Source organism: Homo sapiens, chromosome 17 (genome assembly GCF_000001405.40).
Source record: "Homo sapiens chromosome 17, GRCh38.p14 Primary Assembly".
In the NCBI taxonomy this organism is placed as follows: Eukaryota; Metazoa; Chordata; class Mammalia; order Primates; family Hominidae; genus Homo; species Homo sapiens.
This window is the reverse complement of record NC_000017.11, coordinates 11,844,375-11,864,025: the sequence shown is the minus strand read 5'-3', so window position 1 is coordinate 11,864,025 and position 19,651 is coordinate 11,844,375. Positions and strand designations below refer to the sequence as shown.

The window sequence follows — 19,651 nt, the reverse complement described above, 5'->3', positions numbered from 1 at the left end:
CTGAAGGAAATAGAGACACAAAAAACCCTTCAAAAAATTAATGAATCCAGGAGCTGGTTTTTTGAAAGGATCCACAAAATTGATAGACCGCTAGCAAGACTAATAAAGAAAAAAGGAGAGAAGAATCAAATAGACGCAATAAAAAATGATAAAGGGGATATCACCACCGATCCCACAGAAATACAAACTACCATCAGAGAATACTACAAACACCTCTATGCAAATAAACTAGAAAATCTAGAAGAAATGGATAAATTCCTCGACACATACACTCTCCCAAGACTAAACCAGGAAGAAGTTGAATCTCTGAATAGACCAATAACAGGAGCTGAAATTGTGGCAATAATCAATAGCTTACCAACCAAAAAGAGTCCAGGACCAGATGGATTCACAGCCGAATTCTACCAGAGGTACAAGGAGGAGCTGGCACCATTCCTTCAGAAACTATTCCAATCAATAGAAAAAGAGGGAATCCTCCCTAACTCATTTTATGAGGCCAGCATCATCCTGATACCAAAGTCGGGCAGAGACACAACCAAAAAAGAGAATTTTAGACCAATATCCTTGATGAACATGGATGCAAAAATCCTCAATAAAATACTGGCAAACCGAATCCAGCAGCACATCAAAAAGCTTATCCACTGTGATCAAGTGGGCTTCATCCCTGGGATGCAAGGCTGGTTCAATATACACAAATCAATAAATGTAATCCAGCATATAAACAGAACCAAAGACAAAAACCACATGATTATCTTAATAGATGCAGAAAAGGCCTTTGACAAAATTCAACAACGCTTCATGCTAAAAACTCTCAATAAATTAGGTATTGATGGGACGTATCTCAAAATAATAACAGCTATCTATGACAAATCCACAGCCAATATCATACTGAATGGGCAAAAACTGGAAGCATTCCCTTTGAAAACTGGCACAAGACAGGAACGCCCTCTCTCACCACTCCTATTCAACATAGTGTTGGAAGTTCTGTCCAGGGCAGTTAGGCAGGAGAAGGAAATAAAGGGTATTCAATTAGGAAAAGAGGAAGTCAAATTGTCCCTGTTTGCAGACGACATGATTGTATATCTAGAAAACCCCATTGTCTCAGCCCAAAATCTCCTTAAGCTGATAAGCAACTTCAGCAAAGTCTCAGGATACAAAATCAATGTACAAAAATCACAAGCATTCTTATACACCAATAACAGACAAACAGAGAGCCAAATCATGAGTGAACCCCCATTCACAATTGCTTCAAAGAGAATAAAATACCTAGGAATCCAACTTACAAGGGATGTGAAGGACCTCTTCAGGGAGAACTACAAACCACTGCTCAATGAAATTAAAGAGGATACAAACAAATGGAAGAATATTCCATGCTCATGGGTAGGAAGAATTAATATCGTGAAAATGGCCACACTGCCCAAGGTAATTTATAGATTCAATGCCATCCCCATCAAGCTACCAATGACTTTCTTCACAGAATTGGAAAAAACTACTTTAAAGTTCATATGGAACCAAAAAAGAGCCCGCATCGCCAAGTCAATCCTAAGCCAAAAGAACAAAGCCGGAGGCATCATGCTACCTGACTTCAAACTATACTACAAGGCTACAGTAACCAAAACAGCATGGTACTGGTACCAAAACAGAGATATAGATCAATGGAACAGAACAGAGCCCTCAGAAATAACGCCGCATATCTACAACTATCTGATCTTTGACAAACCTGAGAAAAACAAGCAATGGGGAAAGGATTCCCTATTTAATAAATGGTGCTGGGAAAACTGGCTAGCCATATGTAGAAAGCTGAAACTGGATCCCTTCCTTACACCTTATACAAAAATCAATTCAAGATGGATTAAAGACTTAAACGTTAGACCTAAAACCATATAAACCCTAGAAGAAAACCTAGGCATTACCATTCAGGACAGGCATGGGCAAGGACTTCACGTCTAAAACACCAAAAGCAATGGCAACAAAAGCCAAAATTGACAAATGGGATGTAATTAAACTAAAGAGCTTCTGCACAGCAAAAGAAACTACCATCAGAGTGAACAGGCAAACCACAAAATGGGAGAAAATTTTTGCAACCTACTCATCTGACAAAGGGCTAATATCCAGAATCTACAATGAACTCAAACAAATTTACAAGAAAAAAACAACCCCATCAAAAAGTGGGCAAAGGACATGAACAGACACTTCTCAAAAGAAGACATTTATGCAGCCAAAAAACACATGAAAAAATGCTCACCATCACTGGCCATCAGAGAAATGAAAATCAAAACCACAATGAGATATCATCTCACACCAGTTAGAATGGCAATCATTAAAAAGTCAGGAAACAACAGGTGCTGGAGAAGATGTGGAGAAATAGGAACACTTTTACACTGTTGGTGGGACTGTAAACTAGTTCAACCATTGTGGAAGTCAGTGTGGCGATTCCTCAGGGATCTAGAACTAGAAATACCATTTGACCCAGCCATCCCATTACTGGGTATATACCCAAAGGACTATAAATCATGCTGCTATAAAGACATATGCACACGTATTTTTATTGCGGCACTATTCACAATAGCAAAGACTTGGAACCAACCCAAATGTCCAACAATGATAGACTGGATTAAGAAAATGTGGCACATATACACCATGGAATACTATGCAGCCATAAAAAATGATGAGTTCATGTCCTTTGTAGGGACATGGATGAAATTGGAAATCATCATTCTCAGTAAACTATCGCAAGAAAAAAACCAAACACCGCATATTCTCACTCATAGGTGGGAATTGAACAATGAGAACACATGGACACAGGAAGGGGAACATCACACTCTGGGGACTGTTGTGGGGTTGGGGGAGGGAGGAGGGATAGCATTGGAAGATATACCTAATGCTAGATGACGAGTTAGTGGGTGCAGCGCACCAGCATGGCACATGTATACATATGTAACTAACCTGCACATTGTGCACATGTACCCTAAAACTTAAAGTATAAAAAAAAAAAAAAGAATGACAGCTAAGCACATCAATGTAAAGTTTCAGACATCAAGAACCAAAAGGAAAAGATTAGAAGACTTCAAGGAAAGAGGGGAAACTGTGCATACACAAAGGAACAAGACATTGACTGTCCACGAGACTTCTCACCAGACAAAAGCATAAAACATTCAGTGTTCTGGCAGGGCGCAGTGGCTCACCCCTGTAATCCCAGCACTTTGAGAGGCCGAGGCGGGCAGATCACCTGAGGTCGGGAGTTCGAGACCAGCCTGACTAACATGGAAAAACCTCATCTCTACTGAAAATACAAAATTAGCCGGGCATGGTGGCACATGCCTGTAATCCCAGCTACTCGGAAGACTGAGGCAGGAGAATCGCTTGAACCCGGGAGGCAGAGGTTGCAGTGAGCAGAGATTGTGCCATTGCACTCCAGCCTGGGCAAGAAGAGTGAAACTGTCTCAAAAAAAAAACAACAAACAACAAAAAACAAAACACAAAGCAACAACAACAAATTCAGTGTTCTGTGCACAAAAAATTAGCAACTCAGAATTCAATACTTTGCAAAACTGTTAGTTCAGTTTACGAATAAAACGAAGACATTTCTAGACAATAACAATGCAGAAAATTTACCTCTTCCTTAACATTTCTGAGAACGTTCTCTGAGAATGAGCCAAAGCAGAATAAGAGAGAGAAAGGTTGTGGCAGCAAAGAAGGACAAACAAAGAATACTTAATTGTAAATGGAAAGTTTAGAAATAATGGATGCCATGCAAAAGGAACTAATGCAAGAGAAAGAGACAATAAAGGAAAGTAGAAACTCTGGGGAGTGGGGGTGAAGAGACTGTGTAAAACAAGAGAATGTAATTCTAGATCTGTTATGAACAATATAGACACGTTCACAGAATAGAAATGGAATTATTGCTTTTTTAACTTTGCAGATCAGTCTATGGACAGAGCATGGGTCACTTAGTTTTGGTTACAGAAGAGAATGTATTCTCAGTTTTGGTGATTACAAAGCAAAAGTAATGATAAGCAGTAATAACAAAAGTTGGGAAGTAGAAGGAAGGGAGCTGAAGGCAGGGGTAAGAGTGTCATCTTGTGCTATGGTTTGGATGTCTGTCTCCTCCAAATCTCAGGTTGAAATGCGATTCCCAGTGTTGGAAGTGGGGCCTGGTGGGAGGTGATTGGATCATGGGGGCGGGTCTTTCATGAATGGTTTCGCATCATTCCCTTGCTGGTAAATGAGTTCTTGATCAGTTAGTTCAGGGGAGATCTGGTTGTTTAAAAGAGTGTGGGACCTCCCTCTTCTCTCTCTTGCTCCCGCTCTTGCCAAATGACATTCTGGCTCCCCATTGCCTTTGGCCATGATTGTAAGCTTCCTGAGGCCTCGCCAGAAGCCAGAACCATGCTGCTTGTAAAACCTGCAGAACTGTGAGCCGATTAAACTCCTTTTCTTTACAAATTACCCAGCCTCAGGTATTTCTTTACAGTAATGCAAGAATAGACTAACACATCTTGAAAGCTGAGAGCTCCAAGGGAGCTGCCTCTATGTAATAGAACAGGAAATAAAGGTTACATTAACTGTTAGATTGGCACAAAAGTAACTGCATTTTTTTTTTTTTTTTTTTTTGAGACGGAGTCTCGCTCTGTTGCCCAGGCTGGAGTGCAATGGCACGATCTCAGCTCACTGCAACCTCTGCCTTCCAGGTTCAAGCAATTCTTCTGCCTCAGCCTCCGGAGTAGCTGGGATTACAGGTGCCCACCAGCATGCCCAGCTAATTTTGTATTTTTAGTAGAGATAGGGTTTCACCATGTGGGCCGAGGTGGTCTCAAACTCCTGAGCTCAGGTGATACACCTGTCTCAGCCTCCCAAAATGTTGGGATTACAGGTGTGAGCCACCATGCCTGGCTGTAACTGCAGTTTGTGTCATTACTCTTTTTTTTTTTTTTTTTTTTTGAGACGGGGTTTCCCTCTTGCTGCCCATGCTGGAGTGCAATGGCGCAATCTTGGCTCACTGCAACCTCTGCATCCTGGGTTCAAGTGATTCTCTTGCCTCAGCCTCCCAAGTAGCTGAGATTACAGGCATGTACCACCACGCCGGGTTAATTTTGTATTTTTAGTAGAAATTGGGTTTCACCATTGTTGGTCAGGCTGGTCTCGAACTTCTAACCTCAGGTGATGCAACCACCTCAGCCTCCCAAAGTGCTGAGATTACAGGCATGAGGCACTGTGCCGGCCATTAAAGTAATGGCAAAAACCACAATAACTTCTGTGCTAACCTAATAAAACTGGTTACTGTAACTATATTGGGAAGACATGGAAATGGACAACTTATAGCCTTAGCTAGCTAGCAGAAGGTCAACTGCCTCAATAAGATACATCAAAAAATAGATATCAGCATAACACATGGACAGAAGTCAGAAATTCAAGTGATCAGAAAGTGGGAAGATAATGGAAACTTGTCAGATGAGTCTAGTGTTGAAAAAAATAGAAGTTGGTGGGGATTATGACAAAATGAGCAAAACTGTGTGAATGGGAAGCCATTACTTGACTCTAGGGTCAATTAATGACATATGAGAATCTTTTGATTATTTTTAGACTGACCTAAAATAAGATTTTTACGTAAAAGTACCTGCTATTTTAAATATTGGCAATTAATTAAATCATCTGCAAATAGACTGCGTGGGCCAACTGGAACACAGTTGAGCTGCTAGGTAGCAGGCTCTGATGTGATCTCAAGCACCAGAAACAGATATACGAATTAAAAGGGATTCTTGTTTCTCATCAGAAGCCTTTCTCTACTATTTGATATTTCACTCTGTGTGTGATAATATGCTCACGGAAAATGCCTCCTTTGTTCTTACTATTATTTTTATAAATCATAACATTAATATATCTTCACTACAGAACAAAAGAAAATGTAGATTAGACAAAACAGCCATCCAAAATTCATCACCCAGAGATCACCACCACTGTTAACATTTTTGTGTGTTTCCATTCTGTATTAGGCCATTCTTGCATTGCTATAAAGAAATACCTGAGACTGGGTAATTTATAAGAAAAGAGGTTTCATGGCTCATGGTTCTGCAGGCTGTATAGGAAGCATACTGCTGGCATCTTTCTCTGGGGAGGCCTCAGGGAGCTTCTACTCATGGTGGAAGGCAAAGCAGGAGCACATCATATGGCCAGAGCAGGAGCAAGAGGGAGTTGCGGGGGGCAGGTGCCACATACTTTTAAATGACCAGATATCACAAGAACTCACTCACTGTCATAAAGACAGCACCAAACTATAAAGGATTCTCCTGACAACACAAATGCCTCTCACCAGGCCTCATCTCAGGCACTGGGGATTACAATTCAACATGCGATTTGGGCAGGAACAAATATCCAAACTATATAATGTCCTGCATACAGTAATCAAACTGAAATCTGTCTTGAAATATGCTTTCCACCCACTTTCTGTATTCTGAATATAAGATTATTTACTTGGAATTATCCTAAAATCCTCAAAGTAAGACTTGGGTGTGTGTATGTGAGATTGGACTAGGCTGGAAATGGCCCTGCAGCATATAGGAATCCTCTTGCCCTGGGTGGGTCTCCAGGTTAGGGATGGGTGTTAGCCCATCTCCTGTGTTATTAGCAGGGAGTGCCCACATTCCTGGGATGTTGACGGGGATGTGTATAAGTGGAGGATGGAGAGGAGGTTGTTAAAAGCAAGAATACATTTTTTTTTCCAGAAAATATTTTGGCAGAAAAGAAGTGCCTTCCAAAGGTAGCCAAGGAATTTTAAAATATTCTTATTGCTTTCGCAGGTTGAGTGGGCCCGTCATGTGAATGTTGGCTACTGAAAAGGTATAAACATTTTGAAAACATTCTCTTTGCACCAACTGTTCCTTTAGTTAAAATAACTTGAGTCAAGAGTCTTTGAAAATGCAGTTCTTGTTATATTTTCTGGAAGAGACTGAAAAATATAAAAATTATCGGGAGATCTTTTCCTCCCAAAAAGCAGGAATATGGGCTGGACATGGTGGCTCATGCCTGTAGTCTGCTTGTAATCCTAGCTCTTTGGGAGGCCAAAGCAAAACGTTCACTTGAGGCCAAGAGTTCAAGACCAGCCTGGGCAACATAGCAAGACCCCTTCTCTAAAAATAAAAAATAAAAATAAATTCAGGAATGGGGATGTGACGGTGTCTTGCATGTGATGTTCTTTGAAGGGAGCAATTGTTATGGTGATTATCATCTATTTTAAGTAAACTAGTCCATGAACATGTGCATTATAAAACAAGCATATTGAGAGGAGGTGAGTTGCTTTGCCAAAGTTCTTTTTTTTTTTCTGAGACAGGGTCTCGCTGTGTTGCCCAGGCTGGAGTGCAGTGGCCTGATCTTGGCTTACTGCAAGCTCTGCCTCCCAGGTTCACTTCATTCTCCTGCCTCAGCCTCCTAAGTAGCTGGGACTACAGGTGGCCACCACCACGCCCGGCTAATTTTTTTTTTTTTGTATTTTTAGTAAAGACGGGGTTTCACCATGGTGGCCTGGATGGTCTCGATCTCCCGGCCTCATGATCCTCCTGCCTTGACCTCCCAAAGTGCTGGGATTACAGGCATGAGCCACTGCACCCGGCCCAAAGTATCTTTTTAAATAGAGAGATTGGTCTCAAGGATCTTTGATCTAGAGCCTTTTTCCATAGATTTTAATCTAACAATCAATAAACCCATGTCACGTGGCATACAGCATGTCTACAATCCTACCTTTCATAACTTGTAAAATCCTCCTTATCATCATGACAAATTTGTAGCAAGAATCTTATTTGCCTAGAATGCACATACAGAAATTAAAGATCCAGAAAATTTTTTGGATTGAACTTGATCACAGCCGTGATTGAGTCCATGCAAGAGGTTGGATGTGCATGTGGTAGATGGCACATGCTGTCAAATGGGGCAGTAGCAGTTGAGCAGTTATAGTCACGCTCACACAGTAGTGGTTGAGCAGTTATAGTCACACAGCAGGGGGGCAGCTCCTGCTGCTCCCTTCATCATGGGCTGGGCTCTAGTCTCATGCTTTATACACATCACATCCTTTAATTCTCATAATAGTCCCATGAAGCAGGTACTATTACTGTGTCTATTCTACTTCAGGAAGCTAAGGTTTGGGCATTTTGGAAACCTTTCTAAAGGTCACACGATCAGTAAATATTACAGCTTGGATTGGAACTAAGCTATGTGGAAGGATGGAGTCTTAGTTGCTATGCTATCTTCCAGGATTCTGATTTCTACCTGTTACTTTGTTAATATGCATTTTTATGGGCAAGGTGAAGTTCAAGCATATGAAAGTAAGTAATTCAAGATCTAAGCTGTTGGAACTTTAAAATATTTTGAGCCTTAAGGTAATGTGATTATAGGTCTCGAGTCACAGGACAGGCAGCTATAACCTAGGCAGTTGTAACCTTTATTTCTCTGATTATAGATTGGCCTTTTTCCTTACCTACATTGTCTTGTAAAACTTTGCAAATGACTAAAGGGCACCAGGGAAGACTCCTTCCAGCTTCATTGCTGATCTTTGTTATAGATTAACCTCTCTTTCACCTTTCTCACACAAAGACTCCACATTATCTAAGATGGAAGGTTAAATACACTCTTTGGAAAGGAAGTGAAACAAGCTGTACAGAAAACTGTAATTAATTAAATTGTTGTAACTCATAAACCAGCCTATTATAGAAAATTTCTTTGTTTTCTGCCTATATAAGTAACACCTTAACGTTTTACTTTGGAGCACTCACTCTATCTCTTTGGAGTTCATTGCCAGTTTTTCACTTAAATCAACTCTTGAAGCTGGATTCTGGGCTGGGCTCAGTGGCTCATACCTGTAATCCCAGCACTTTGGGAGGCTGAGGTGGGAGGATCACTTGAGCCCGGGAGTTCAAGACCAACCTGGGCAACATAGGGAGACCCTGCCTCTACAGATTAAAAAAAAAAATGAATTCTGATCCTTTCAATTATTTCAGGTTGACAAGGAAAATCTCCCAAATAGGTGTGAATCCAAGATCACCATCCCCATCTCCAAATCCTGGGTGAAGCAGACATAATAACAATATCTACATGAGTTTATAAAAGCTAATGACCCTCACAGTTTTATATTTATGGACTAGGGGCCACCCACTAAGTCACAGTGTATAACTTGCTTTAACGAACTTCCACAAAACAATGCAGATAGCTGACACATTTCCACACATCCATGCTACTGAAAGTGAGACAGGCAGATAGTTGGCTAGAACTGAAGGGAACAGGTAAAAAGGGTAAGGTGGCTAAAATCCACATTTCCAAGGAGAAAGAGAAAAAGTCTCAAAATTTTAACCTTTTGTTCAGAAAAGGAGAAAACCTTTTCGCACCACAGCTTGTAAACCAGTGGTCCAGTGGAATTGTCTTGTTTGGCCTATACAGTGTTTGAGAAAGAAATGTAAAAAGTTGCCTCTACTGAAAAATGAGATTTTGCATGAAAATGTGGTTTTCCTGCTTCTCTTTAAAAACCGTAACGTTAGGTGTTAGATGGTGTCTGAAGAGCGTTGTTTGTATTGGAGGCGGACTAGCAGGGTGAGGGGCTCTGGGGTCACTCACAGCGATCTTGGCTTTGATGGCAGCCAGCTTCTCCTGGGCAGCTGTGAGGTCCGCGGTGGCTTTGTTCAGTGCCTGGCGCTTGGGTTCCACATCACAGAACACCTCATAAAATCTCACAATATTGATGACCCAGGAGCAGAGGCCTGCAGCCGCATAGGATTTGGTGGCCACAAACTCAGGATTGAACTCGGGGTCTTGCAGATACGGCCTGATGGCTTTGAGGCAGTTCTCGTGAATGTTCTCTTTGTTGAAGTTTATTAGCGAGTCCAGGAAGCCATCCACTTTGGCCATGGTGACCTTAGCAGCCTTCCAGCTCCGGTCCTTGGGCACCCTACCCCTGGGAGCCATCAGTACCATCACCGCAGCGCTGACATTGCTGACGGCCAGAGGCGGAGAGCCAAATGACTTCAGCTCTGTCAGGTTGGTCTGGGAAAAGAGAAGGAGGTGGTTAGGGGAACATGAATGGGCTTTCTTTGTCCTCTGCCACTGATGGAGTTAGGTTGTGGAGCGATCGGTTTGAAAGGGCTGCTTTGAAGCCTGCAGCAGCCCTCTGAATTTTAAATATCATGACTCATCAAAAGGAAACCAAAGCTACTCCTCAGTGGCTTCAGACTTCTCTGAATGGTTAGCCAAGACTCAGCTATGTTCTTTCAGCACTTTAACTGACTCGCAGCCCATTAGAAACACACAATTATTTCACATTCAACTGAGAAATACAAGGATGCCGACATACTCTGAAATATGCAGCATGCTATGAATAAAAGATAAGGTTATTATAAATTAATTTCCATCTTGGATTGAAGAGAATAGCACTGTAACCCAAGTAATTTTTTTTTCCTTAATTAAACTGCTTTGTTCCATGAGCTTGTTCTAACTACACTTGACTGTCCTGATAGCAAAACAGCATTTTCTGCCAAGAAATAATTCAGACAGAAACAAGGCACAGCCTGTGAGTCAGCTGCTCTGCCTGGTCCTGGGTTTGTCCTTTGCTCAGAGTTTTGCTTGTTCCAGAAAGACACGGCTGAAAGAGTTGATCTTGGCAAATCACTTAAACCTTCCAGAACTTGCCACCTTCATCTGTAAATTGGGGGCAGGAGAACTCGCTACTCTGTACATAAAATGGTGTCATAAATGCGTATGAAGTTGATTTAAGGCCTGCTATGACATTCGGTGAGAAGCCTACAATCAGGTGTAGGGAATTCTAATTTTCTGTTGCTTGGGCATCCATTTTGAATATAGGTTTAACTTTATTCATACCAGAAGCAGGGCTCAGTTACCCTGGATACAGTTTCCAGTTCTATACCACACCCAAATGACTCAAGCCAGTAGCCAGAGAATTTGGATCTCTCCTAGGCAGGAGCTCCCTGCTTGCCTGCCACTTCCTTTAAAGGGACCATTCAGGCATTTGCTGAAAACCTAAAGTGACCCACATCCTACTTTCTTATATATACTTATATATTAACATAAGATATATCTTATATTAAATATGAGAAATATATTTCTTGTATATACTTTCTTTTATATATATATATACACATCCTACTTTCTTTTATATATACACACTTTCATATATATATATATATATATATATATATATATATATATATATATATACACACACACACACTTTCTTATATATATCTCTTATATATACTGCCGGTTGCCATGCACTTCTATGCACTTCTCTTTCTCTCTGCCTCACTCTTCATTCCTACCTGTCGTGACCCAGGGACAGAGCACTACCCTCCCAACTCATTGCATTCTCCCTGCTCAGGATCTGTAAGTAAAAATATTTGAATGTGTTTCCTGTTGTGGTGGTATACTGAATTTGCACCTTCCATCTGAAGAACCAGGGGCTGCTCCAGGCTGGGTTTTCTCCAGGTACTGGGCTGAGCTCCCAGCTCAGAGTGATGGTCAGGCAGGCATAAACTGGACATGGATTGGACAAGAGCCACAAGGGGATCCGCCAATATAAACAAATTTCCCATGTGAAGGACCCCCTGGTCATGGGTCAGACAGCTAAGCATTAGGCTGTCTGCCAGGTGAAAGAAATATCCGTGAAAGGTACATTGCAGACTCCCACGCCCAGCTCCCTACCACTTCCTATTAGGGCAGTGGAGCCCCAATGTAGCTGGAGGCTCTTAAAATGCTGTGAAACCATTTGCTTATGGCGCTAACTTTGTCAGTGGGGGGACAACTTGATTTCAAAAATTAGATTCTTATGCCAAATTAATTTGAGGTGCTCTTGATCCACAAACAAAGAGAATTATTTCTAGCTCCGAATGGAAGTACTGTGGCAGATGCTCCTTTCATTCTTGCAATGGATTTCACATTTGGTCCCAATACACCTGTGAGGGCAGGGAGGTAGGCAGCACAGGTGTGAGAGGGATACCAGCACACCTGTTGTCACGGCCCCCTGAGGTGACAGAGGGCAAAGTGAGAAAATACAAATGTAACCAAAGAATGCCATGATTTTAAAACAGCATAAGTTAAGCAATGTACAGAGATGAAAATGAATTTTATAACCCAGATATATCACGGTCGATGTTTCCACGTACAGTAACTCCTCCTTCCAGTCTTTTTCATATTCATATATATCTATAAATTAATCATGACTCTTTTGGTTTTAGTGACAGAAACCCTAGATGAAGTACACAGGGAGATTTTCTCACTCGAATATCTGGCAAGGGCAGGCATGGAGCTGGCAGTATGATGAGTGGAATCCCATTCTCAATGTTGTCGGCAGGGCTCTGTGGACTTTCTCTTCCTTCCCTGTCTCCCTGTGTGTGGGTTGCTTTTTTACACCCCAGTTTCTTCATGTTGGAAGGCACACGGTCTAACTCTCTGACTGTGGCCCACTTTCTCCTTTTCTCACTAGGCTGTAGCTGTGATCACCTTCTTTCAGTGTATTGACTTGCCAAGCTCATTGCCACCTCAGGTCTCTGCCTGGAACACTTCCTCCTAAGACATTTGCATGGCTGATACCTCTGCATCCACCAAGATCTCAATTCTGGCTGGGCATGGTGGCTCACGCCTGTAATCCCGGTACTTTGGGAGACTGAGAAGGGAGATCACCTAAGGTCAGGAGTTCGAGACCAGCCTGGCCAACATGGTGAAAACCCCATCTGTACTAAAAATACAAAGATTAGCTAGGTGTGATGGCAGGCGCCTGTAACCCCAGCTACTCTGAGGCAGGAGGCTGAGGCAGGAGAATCACTTGAACTTGGGAGGTGGAGGTTGCAAGGAGCCAAGATCATGCCATTGCACTCCAGCCTGGGTGACAAGAATGAAACTCCATCTCAAACAACAACAACAACAACAACAACAACAACAAAACAACCTCAATTTAAACGACCCCCACCCTGTAAGACTCTACCCACCAACCTCCCCTTCTTAGTCATTTCCCATCCTAGAGCCATGATGGTTTCCTTCAGAGAACCTGAAATGATTCTCAGTTTTTCCTTGTTGACTTACTGTATCCCTCCTCTTCATGAGAGCAGGGACCTCCATTTATCTTGTTAACCATGGAAGCCCCAGTGTCCAGAACAGAAGAAATTATGTAGTAAATGCTTGTCAAAATATGTGTTGAGTGATTGGATGGAAAGAGAAGGGAAAGAGACTTTTTATCCAATGCAAGTCAAAATTTAAAAAATCCCTGGGTAAAGATCTTGTTTGGTTAAGCATGGGCCCTCAAGTCAACTCTCATGGGGCAGGCAGATAGAGCAGCGTGGTGCTAATAGAAACACAAGGCTGGAAGAAACTTTTTTTTTTTTTTTTTGACATGGAGTCTCACACTGTCGCCCAGGCTGGAGTGCAGTGGCATGTTCTTGGCTCACTGCAACCTCCACCTCCCGGGTTCAGGCGATTCTCCTGCCTCAGCCTCCCAAATTACAGCTGGGATTACAGGCACCCGCCACCACCCCTGGCTAGTTTTTGTATAGTAGTAGAGACAGGGTTTCATTATGTTGGTCAGGCTGATCTTGAACTCCTGACCTCAAATGATCCACCTGCCTCGGCCTTCCAAAGTGCTGGGATTACAGGCGTGAGCCGCCATGCCTAGCCTGGGAGAAACACTTCTCAGAAGGCAGGAATTGTTAGGCACAGGCGCTCTGGGCTCCACTCCACTCTGTCTTAGGACTATTGTTCTAGCTGTATGGCTGCTCTTCCCCAAATATCTGCCCGATGCATTTGTTCTTCTCCAAGTTTTTCTCAGACGTCTCCTTCCTAAGAAGGCCTACCACCTCTGCCTCCTCCCACCCATCCTCTCCAGATGCCCAGCCTCATTGCTTCTCCTACTCTACTCCACATTTTTCTTTTTTCCCCACAGCATCTGTCATGCTCTACTACATTATATAAGTCACTTTGAAGTTGTATTTATTGTCTCTTGCCCCTTACTTCTGCTAGAGTATAAGCTTCAGAGAGGCAGGGATCTTCCCTCATGGATGTATCACATGTACCCAGAGCAGTGCCTGGCATAGGAAGAGCACTCAAAAAGTCTTTGTTGAGTGAATAAATGAATGAATCAATATGTGTGCAGTCATCATTGGACAAATATTATTTAGTATGTACTAGGCATTCAGTTTGAGTGACGGGGATACAAGAAAGGCAAAGTCCTTTTGCTCATTCAGGTGGGGGAGACAGGCAACAAAGAGATAGATCTTTGATATTTTAAATACTGAGAAAAACAAACACAAGGGCTCAGGAGAGAGAATTCTTGGAATGTGATGATGCCACATTAGTTAGGAAGGTCTCTTCCTCTGGGAAGGCATCTTCAAGAAGCTACATTTCACTGGGATCTCAATGATGGGAAATGGCCAGCTCTACAGACTGCAGGAAGACTGTTCCAGGCTGCTGAGCAAGCAAGTGTAAAGGCCTGTGGCAGAAGCAAGCTTGGCTATGATGTACAGTGGGGAGGACAGTCCAGAGAGTGGTGGAGAGGATGGCTGAGAGGCAGCTGGGGCCAGACCACCAGAGGCTCCGGAGGCCATGGGAAGAAGTATGAGGAGTATGGATTTTACTCTAATTTCACTGGGAAGCCACTGGTGTGTTTTCGGCAGGGAATGGAATGATGAGGCTTATGCTCTCAGATATGCTTGTTGCAGTGCAGACACACTGTGGCAGGGGAGAGTGGATGAGGAACAAGAGAGTCAGGAGGTAGCTTAGCCATCTAGGCAGGGAACTGAAGGTGGCTTGGTCCAGGCTTTTTGCAGGGGAGATGGTGAGAAGTGATTGGATTTGGGACATATTTTCGAGCTAGTGTAGGCAGAACTTATGAATACTTTTACAAAGAGGTGGCCAGGTGCGGTGGCTCACGCTTGTAATGCCAGCACTTTGGGAGGCCAAGGCAGGTGGATCACGAGGTCAGGAGATCGAGACCATCCTGGCTAACACGGTGAAACCCTGTCTCTACTAAAAATACAAAAAGTTAGCCGGGCATGGTGGCAGCCGCCTGTAGTCCCAGCTACTTGGGAGGCTGAGGCAGGAGAATGGCGTGAACCCGGGAGGCAGAGCTTGCAGTGAGCCGAGATCATGCCACTGCACTCCAGCCTGGGCGACAGAGCGAGACTCCATCTCAAAAAAAAAAAGAGGTGTGAGAGAAGGTCACTAGTTCTTCTAGAGAGGATTTTTAAAAAGTCTGTATATGGACAATCTACACTTTATCTAAAATTTATCTAATTTCTGAAAATGTAAGTCATTTCCCAGAATTTACCTCACAGATAATGCTTTGCTGAACATTGTTCTATGTAAGTGAAAATTTTAGTTACTTACGGCAATCTTCTTGGAAGTGGGATTTGCCGGGTCAAAGGGTAAAAACATTTTTAGTATTCTTTGTACAAATTGTCATTAATAATTATTAAATTATTTAACAATTATTTGATTTATTCAATAATTATTCAATTTATTAAATTATTATTAGTAATAATTATTATTTCTCAGAAATTTCAATCCCAATCATCAGTATTTGAGATAACCTATATGCACTCCCATCCTTTCAACACTGGGAAATATTATTTAAATAAAAAAAAGGATAGATTAAAAATAAGATCACAATATTGGTTTAATTAATGTATGCATATTATGCAAATATATGTGTATTTACTAGTGATGCTAAACTTTTTTTTCATGTTGACAAACTATTTGGAGTTTTTATTTTGTGAGTTGTTTGTTCTTGTCCTTTGCCTACATTTCTACTGGGCTATTTATCTTTTTCTTTTTGATTACTGTAATTGTTAGGGTTTCTGCAGGCAAAATGATGATACAACACACCAGCTCTTTTGAGGACAGTTAACTAAAGGAACTATTTATGAAAGTGTAGATTGAAGAGACCTACGAGAGAGTACATTACTCTGGGCTAGTAATGTTAGGGTGAGTGGAGCTGGGGAGGTTCCAGTTCCACTCTGGGCTTGAGGAGAAAAGGGAGAGGAGGGGTTAGCAGAACCTGGAGAGACAGAGACAGAGAGCCCTCTGGAGAAGGAGCCCTACACGAGCTGTAACCGTTAGTGGAGGGCAGGTGGAGGCCGAAGAAATGACTACCGGGATCTCACTCTCTTTCTCCTTCCTATGACCTTCTGATACTCAGCATGGCCAAAGGTCACAAAAACCTAGAGGGCAAAGGCAGTCCATTGATATAATTCATGCAAATCAAGTCTCTCAGGTTAGGGAAAGAACAGAGTTGGGAAGGGCAAAGTGTAACTGGGTTGGGGGCAATAAGAGGAGGGGAGCAGAACGAATGGGAGATTCCCAGTACAATTCACGAGAGCTTTTCATATATAGAGAAGATTTATTCTTTTCACATATGTGTTGAAAATTTCTTTTAAAATTTTGTTTATGGCACTGGTACCAAAACAGACACATAGACCAGACCAATGGAACAGAATAGAGAACCCAGAAATATAAGGCCACACACCCACACCCATTTGATCTTCAACAAACCTGACAAAAACAGGTCATGGAGAAAGGACTCCCTATTCAATAAATGGTGCCGAGATAACTGGCTAACCATTATGTAGAAGATTAAAACTGGACCCCTTCCTTACAACATATACAAAAATTAACTCAAGATGGATTAAAGACTTAAATGTAAAACCCAAAATTATAAAAACCCAAGAAGACAACCTAGGCAATACCATTCTGGACATAGGAATGAGCAAGGATTTCATGACAAAGATACCAAAAGCAACTGTGACAAAAGCAAAAATTGACAAATGAGATCTAATTAAACTAAAGAGCTTCTGCACAGCAAAGAAAACTATCAACAGGGTGAACAGAGAATCTACAGAATAGGAGAAAATTTTTGCAAGCTTGGATCTGACAAAAGTCTAATATCCAGCAGCTATAAGGAACTTAAATTTACAAGAAAAAAACCACCTCATTAAATCCTATTCAACATAGTGTTGGAAGTTCTGGCCAGGGCAATTAGGCAGGAGAAGGAAATAAAGGGTATTCAATTAGGAAAAGAGGAAGTCAAATTGTCCCTGTTTGCAGACGACATGATTGTATATCTAGAAAACCCCACTGTCTCAGCCCAAAATCTCCTTAAGCTGATAAGCAACTTCAGCAAAGTCTCAGGATACAAAATCAATGTACAAAAATCACAAGCATTCTTATACACCAATAACAGACAAACAGAGAGCCAAATCATGAGTGAACTCCCATTCACAATTGCTTCAAAGAGAATAAAATACCTAGGAATCCAACTTACAAGGGATGTGAAGGACCTCTTCAAGGAGAACTACAAACCACTGCTCAAGGAAATAAAAGAGGATACAAACAAATGGAAGAATATTCCATGCTCATGGGTAGGAAGAATCAATATCGTGAAAATGGCCATACTGCCCAAGGTAATTTACAGATTCAATGCCATCCCCATCAAGCTACCAATGACTTTCTTCACAGAATTGGAAAAAAACTACTTTAAAGTTCATATGGAACCAAAAAAGAGCCCGCATCGCCAAGTCAATCCTAAGCCAAAAGAACAAAGCCGGAGGCATCACGCTACCTGACTTCAAACTATATTACAAGGCTACAGTAACCAAAACAGCATGGTACTGGTACCAAAACAGAGATATAGATCAATGGAACAGAACAGAGCCCTCAGAAATAACGCCGCATATCTACAACTATCTGATCTTTGACAAACCTGAGAAAAACAAGCAATGGGGAAAGGATTCCCTATTTAATAAATGGTGCTGGGAAAACTGGCTAGCCATATGTAGAAAGCTGAAACTGGATCCCTTCCTTACACCTTATACAAAAATCAATTCAAGATGGATTAAAGACTTAAACGTTAGACCTAAAACCATAAAAACCCTAGAAGAAAACCTAGGCATTACCATTCAGGACATAGGCATGGGCAAGGACTTCATGTCTAGAACACCAAAAGCAATGGCAACAAAAGCCAAAACTGACAAATGGGATGTAATTAAACTAAAGAGCTTCTGCACAGCAAAAGAAACTACCATCAGAGTGAACAGGCAACCTACAACATGGGAGAAAATTTTCACAACCTACTCATCTGACAAAGGGCTAATATCCAGAATCTACAATGAACTCAAACAAATTTACAAGAAAAAAACAACCCCATCAAAAAGTGGGCAAAGGACATGAACAGACACTTCTCAAAAGAAGACATTTATGCAGCCAAAAAACACATGAAAAAATGCTCACCATCACTGGCCATCAGAGCAATGAAAATCAAAACCACAATGAGATACCATCTCACACCAGTTAGAATGGCGATCATTAAAAAGTCAGGAAACAACAAGTGCTGGAGAGGATGTGGAGAAATAGGAACACTTTTACACTGTTGGTGGGACTGTAAACTAGTTCAACCATTGTGGAAGTCAGTGTGGCGATTCCTCAGGGATCTAGAACTAGAAATACCATTTGACCCAGCCATCCCATTACTGGGTATATAGCCAAAGGACTATAAATCATGCTGCTTTAAAGACACATGCACACGTATGTTTATTGCGGCATTATTCACAATAGCAAAGACTTGGAACCAACCCAAATGTCCAAAAATGATAGACTGGATTAAGAAAATGTGGCACATATACACCATGGAATACTATGCAGCCATAAAAAATGATGAGTTCATGTCCTTTGTAGGGACATGGATGAAATTGGAAATCATCATTCTCAGTAAACTATCGCAAGAACAAAAAACCAAACACCGCATATTCTCACTTATAGGTGGGAATTGAACAATGAAAACACATGGACACAGGAAGGGGAACATCACACTCTGGGGACTGTTGTGGGGTCGGGGGAGGGGGGAGGAATAGCATTGGGAGGTATACCTAATGCTAGATGACGAGTTAGTGGGTACAGCACACCAGCATGGCACATGTATACATATGTAACTAACCTGCACATTGTGCACATGTACCCTAAAACTTAAAGTATAATAATAAATAAAAAAAAAAAGATGGTAAAAAAAAAGTGGACAAAGGACATGAACAGACACTTCTCAAAAGAAGACATTCATGTGGCCAACAAACCTATGAAAAAAAGCTCAACGTAGCTAATCATTAGAGAAATGCAAATCAAAACCGCAATGAAATACAATCTCACGCCAGTATTGGGTCCTAGGCTTAGTATCTGGGTGATGAAATAATCTGTACAACAAACCTTCATACCTTCATGACACAAGTTTATCTATATCACAAGCTTGCACATGTACCCTGAACTTAAAAGTTAAATGATAAAAAAAGATGTTACTGGCTGGGTGTGGTGGCTCATGCCTGTAATCCAAGCACTTTGGGAGGCTGAGGCAGGTGGATCACAAGGTCAGGAGTTTGAGACCAGCCTGGCCAGCATGGTGAAACTCCGTCTCTACTAAAAATACAAAAAATTAGTCGGGCATGGTGGTGTGCGCCTGCAATCCCAGCTACCCTGGAGGCTGAGGCAGGAAAATCACTTGAATCCAGGAGGTGGAAGTTGCAGTGAGCCGAGATCGCTCCATTGCACTCCAGCCTGGGTGACAGAGTGAGACTCTGTTACCATGATGTGGCTTCAAAGGAAATGACTAAAACAAAATTTCAAAAAAATC

At 41.8% G+C, this 19,651-nt stretch overlaps 1 protein-coding gene across 5 annotated transcripts in view; it reads right to left on the bottom strand.

The window, feature by feature from the left end:
* Nucleotides 1-19,651, bottom strand: part of DNAH9 (dynein axonemal heavy chain 9) — a 371,279-nt gene that overhangs the window by 105,723 nt on the left and 245,905 nt on the right. For all 5 annotated transcript variants that reach the window (XM_011523703.3, NM_001372.4, XM_017024292.3 and 2 more), the window contains one exon: nt 9,598-10,023. In XM_011523703.3, coding sequence (XP_011522005.1) covers nt 9,598-10,023 — 426 coding nt within the window. The remainder of the gene's footprint in view (nt 1-9,597; nt 10,024-19,651) is intronic.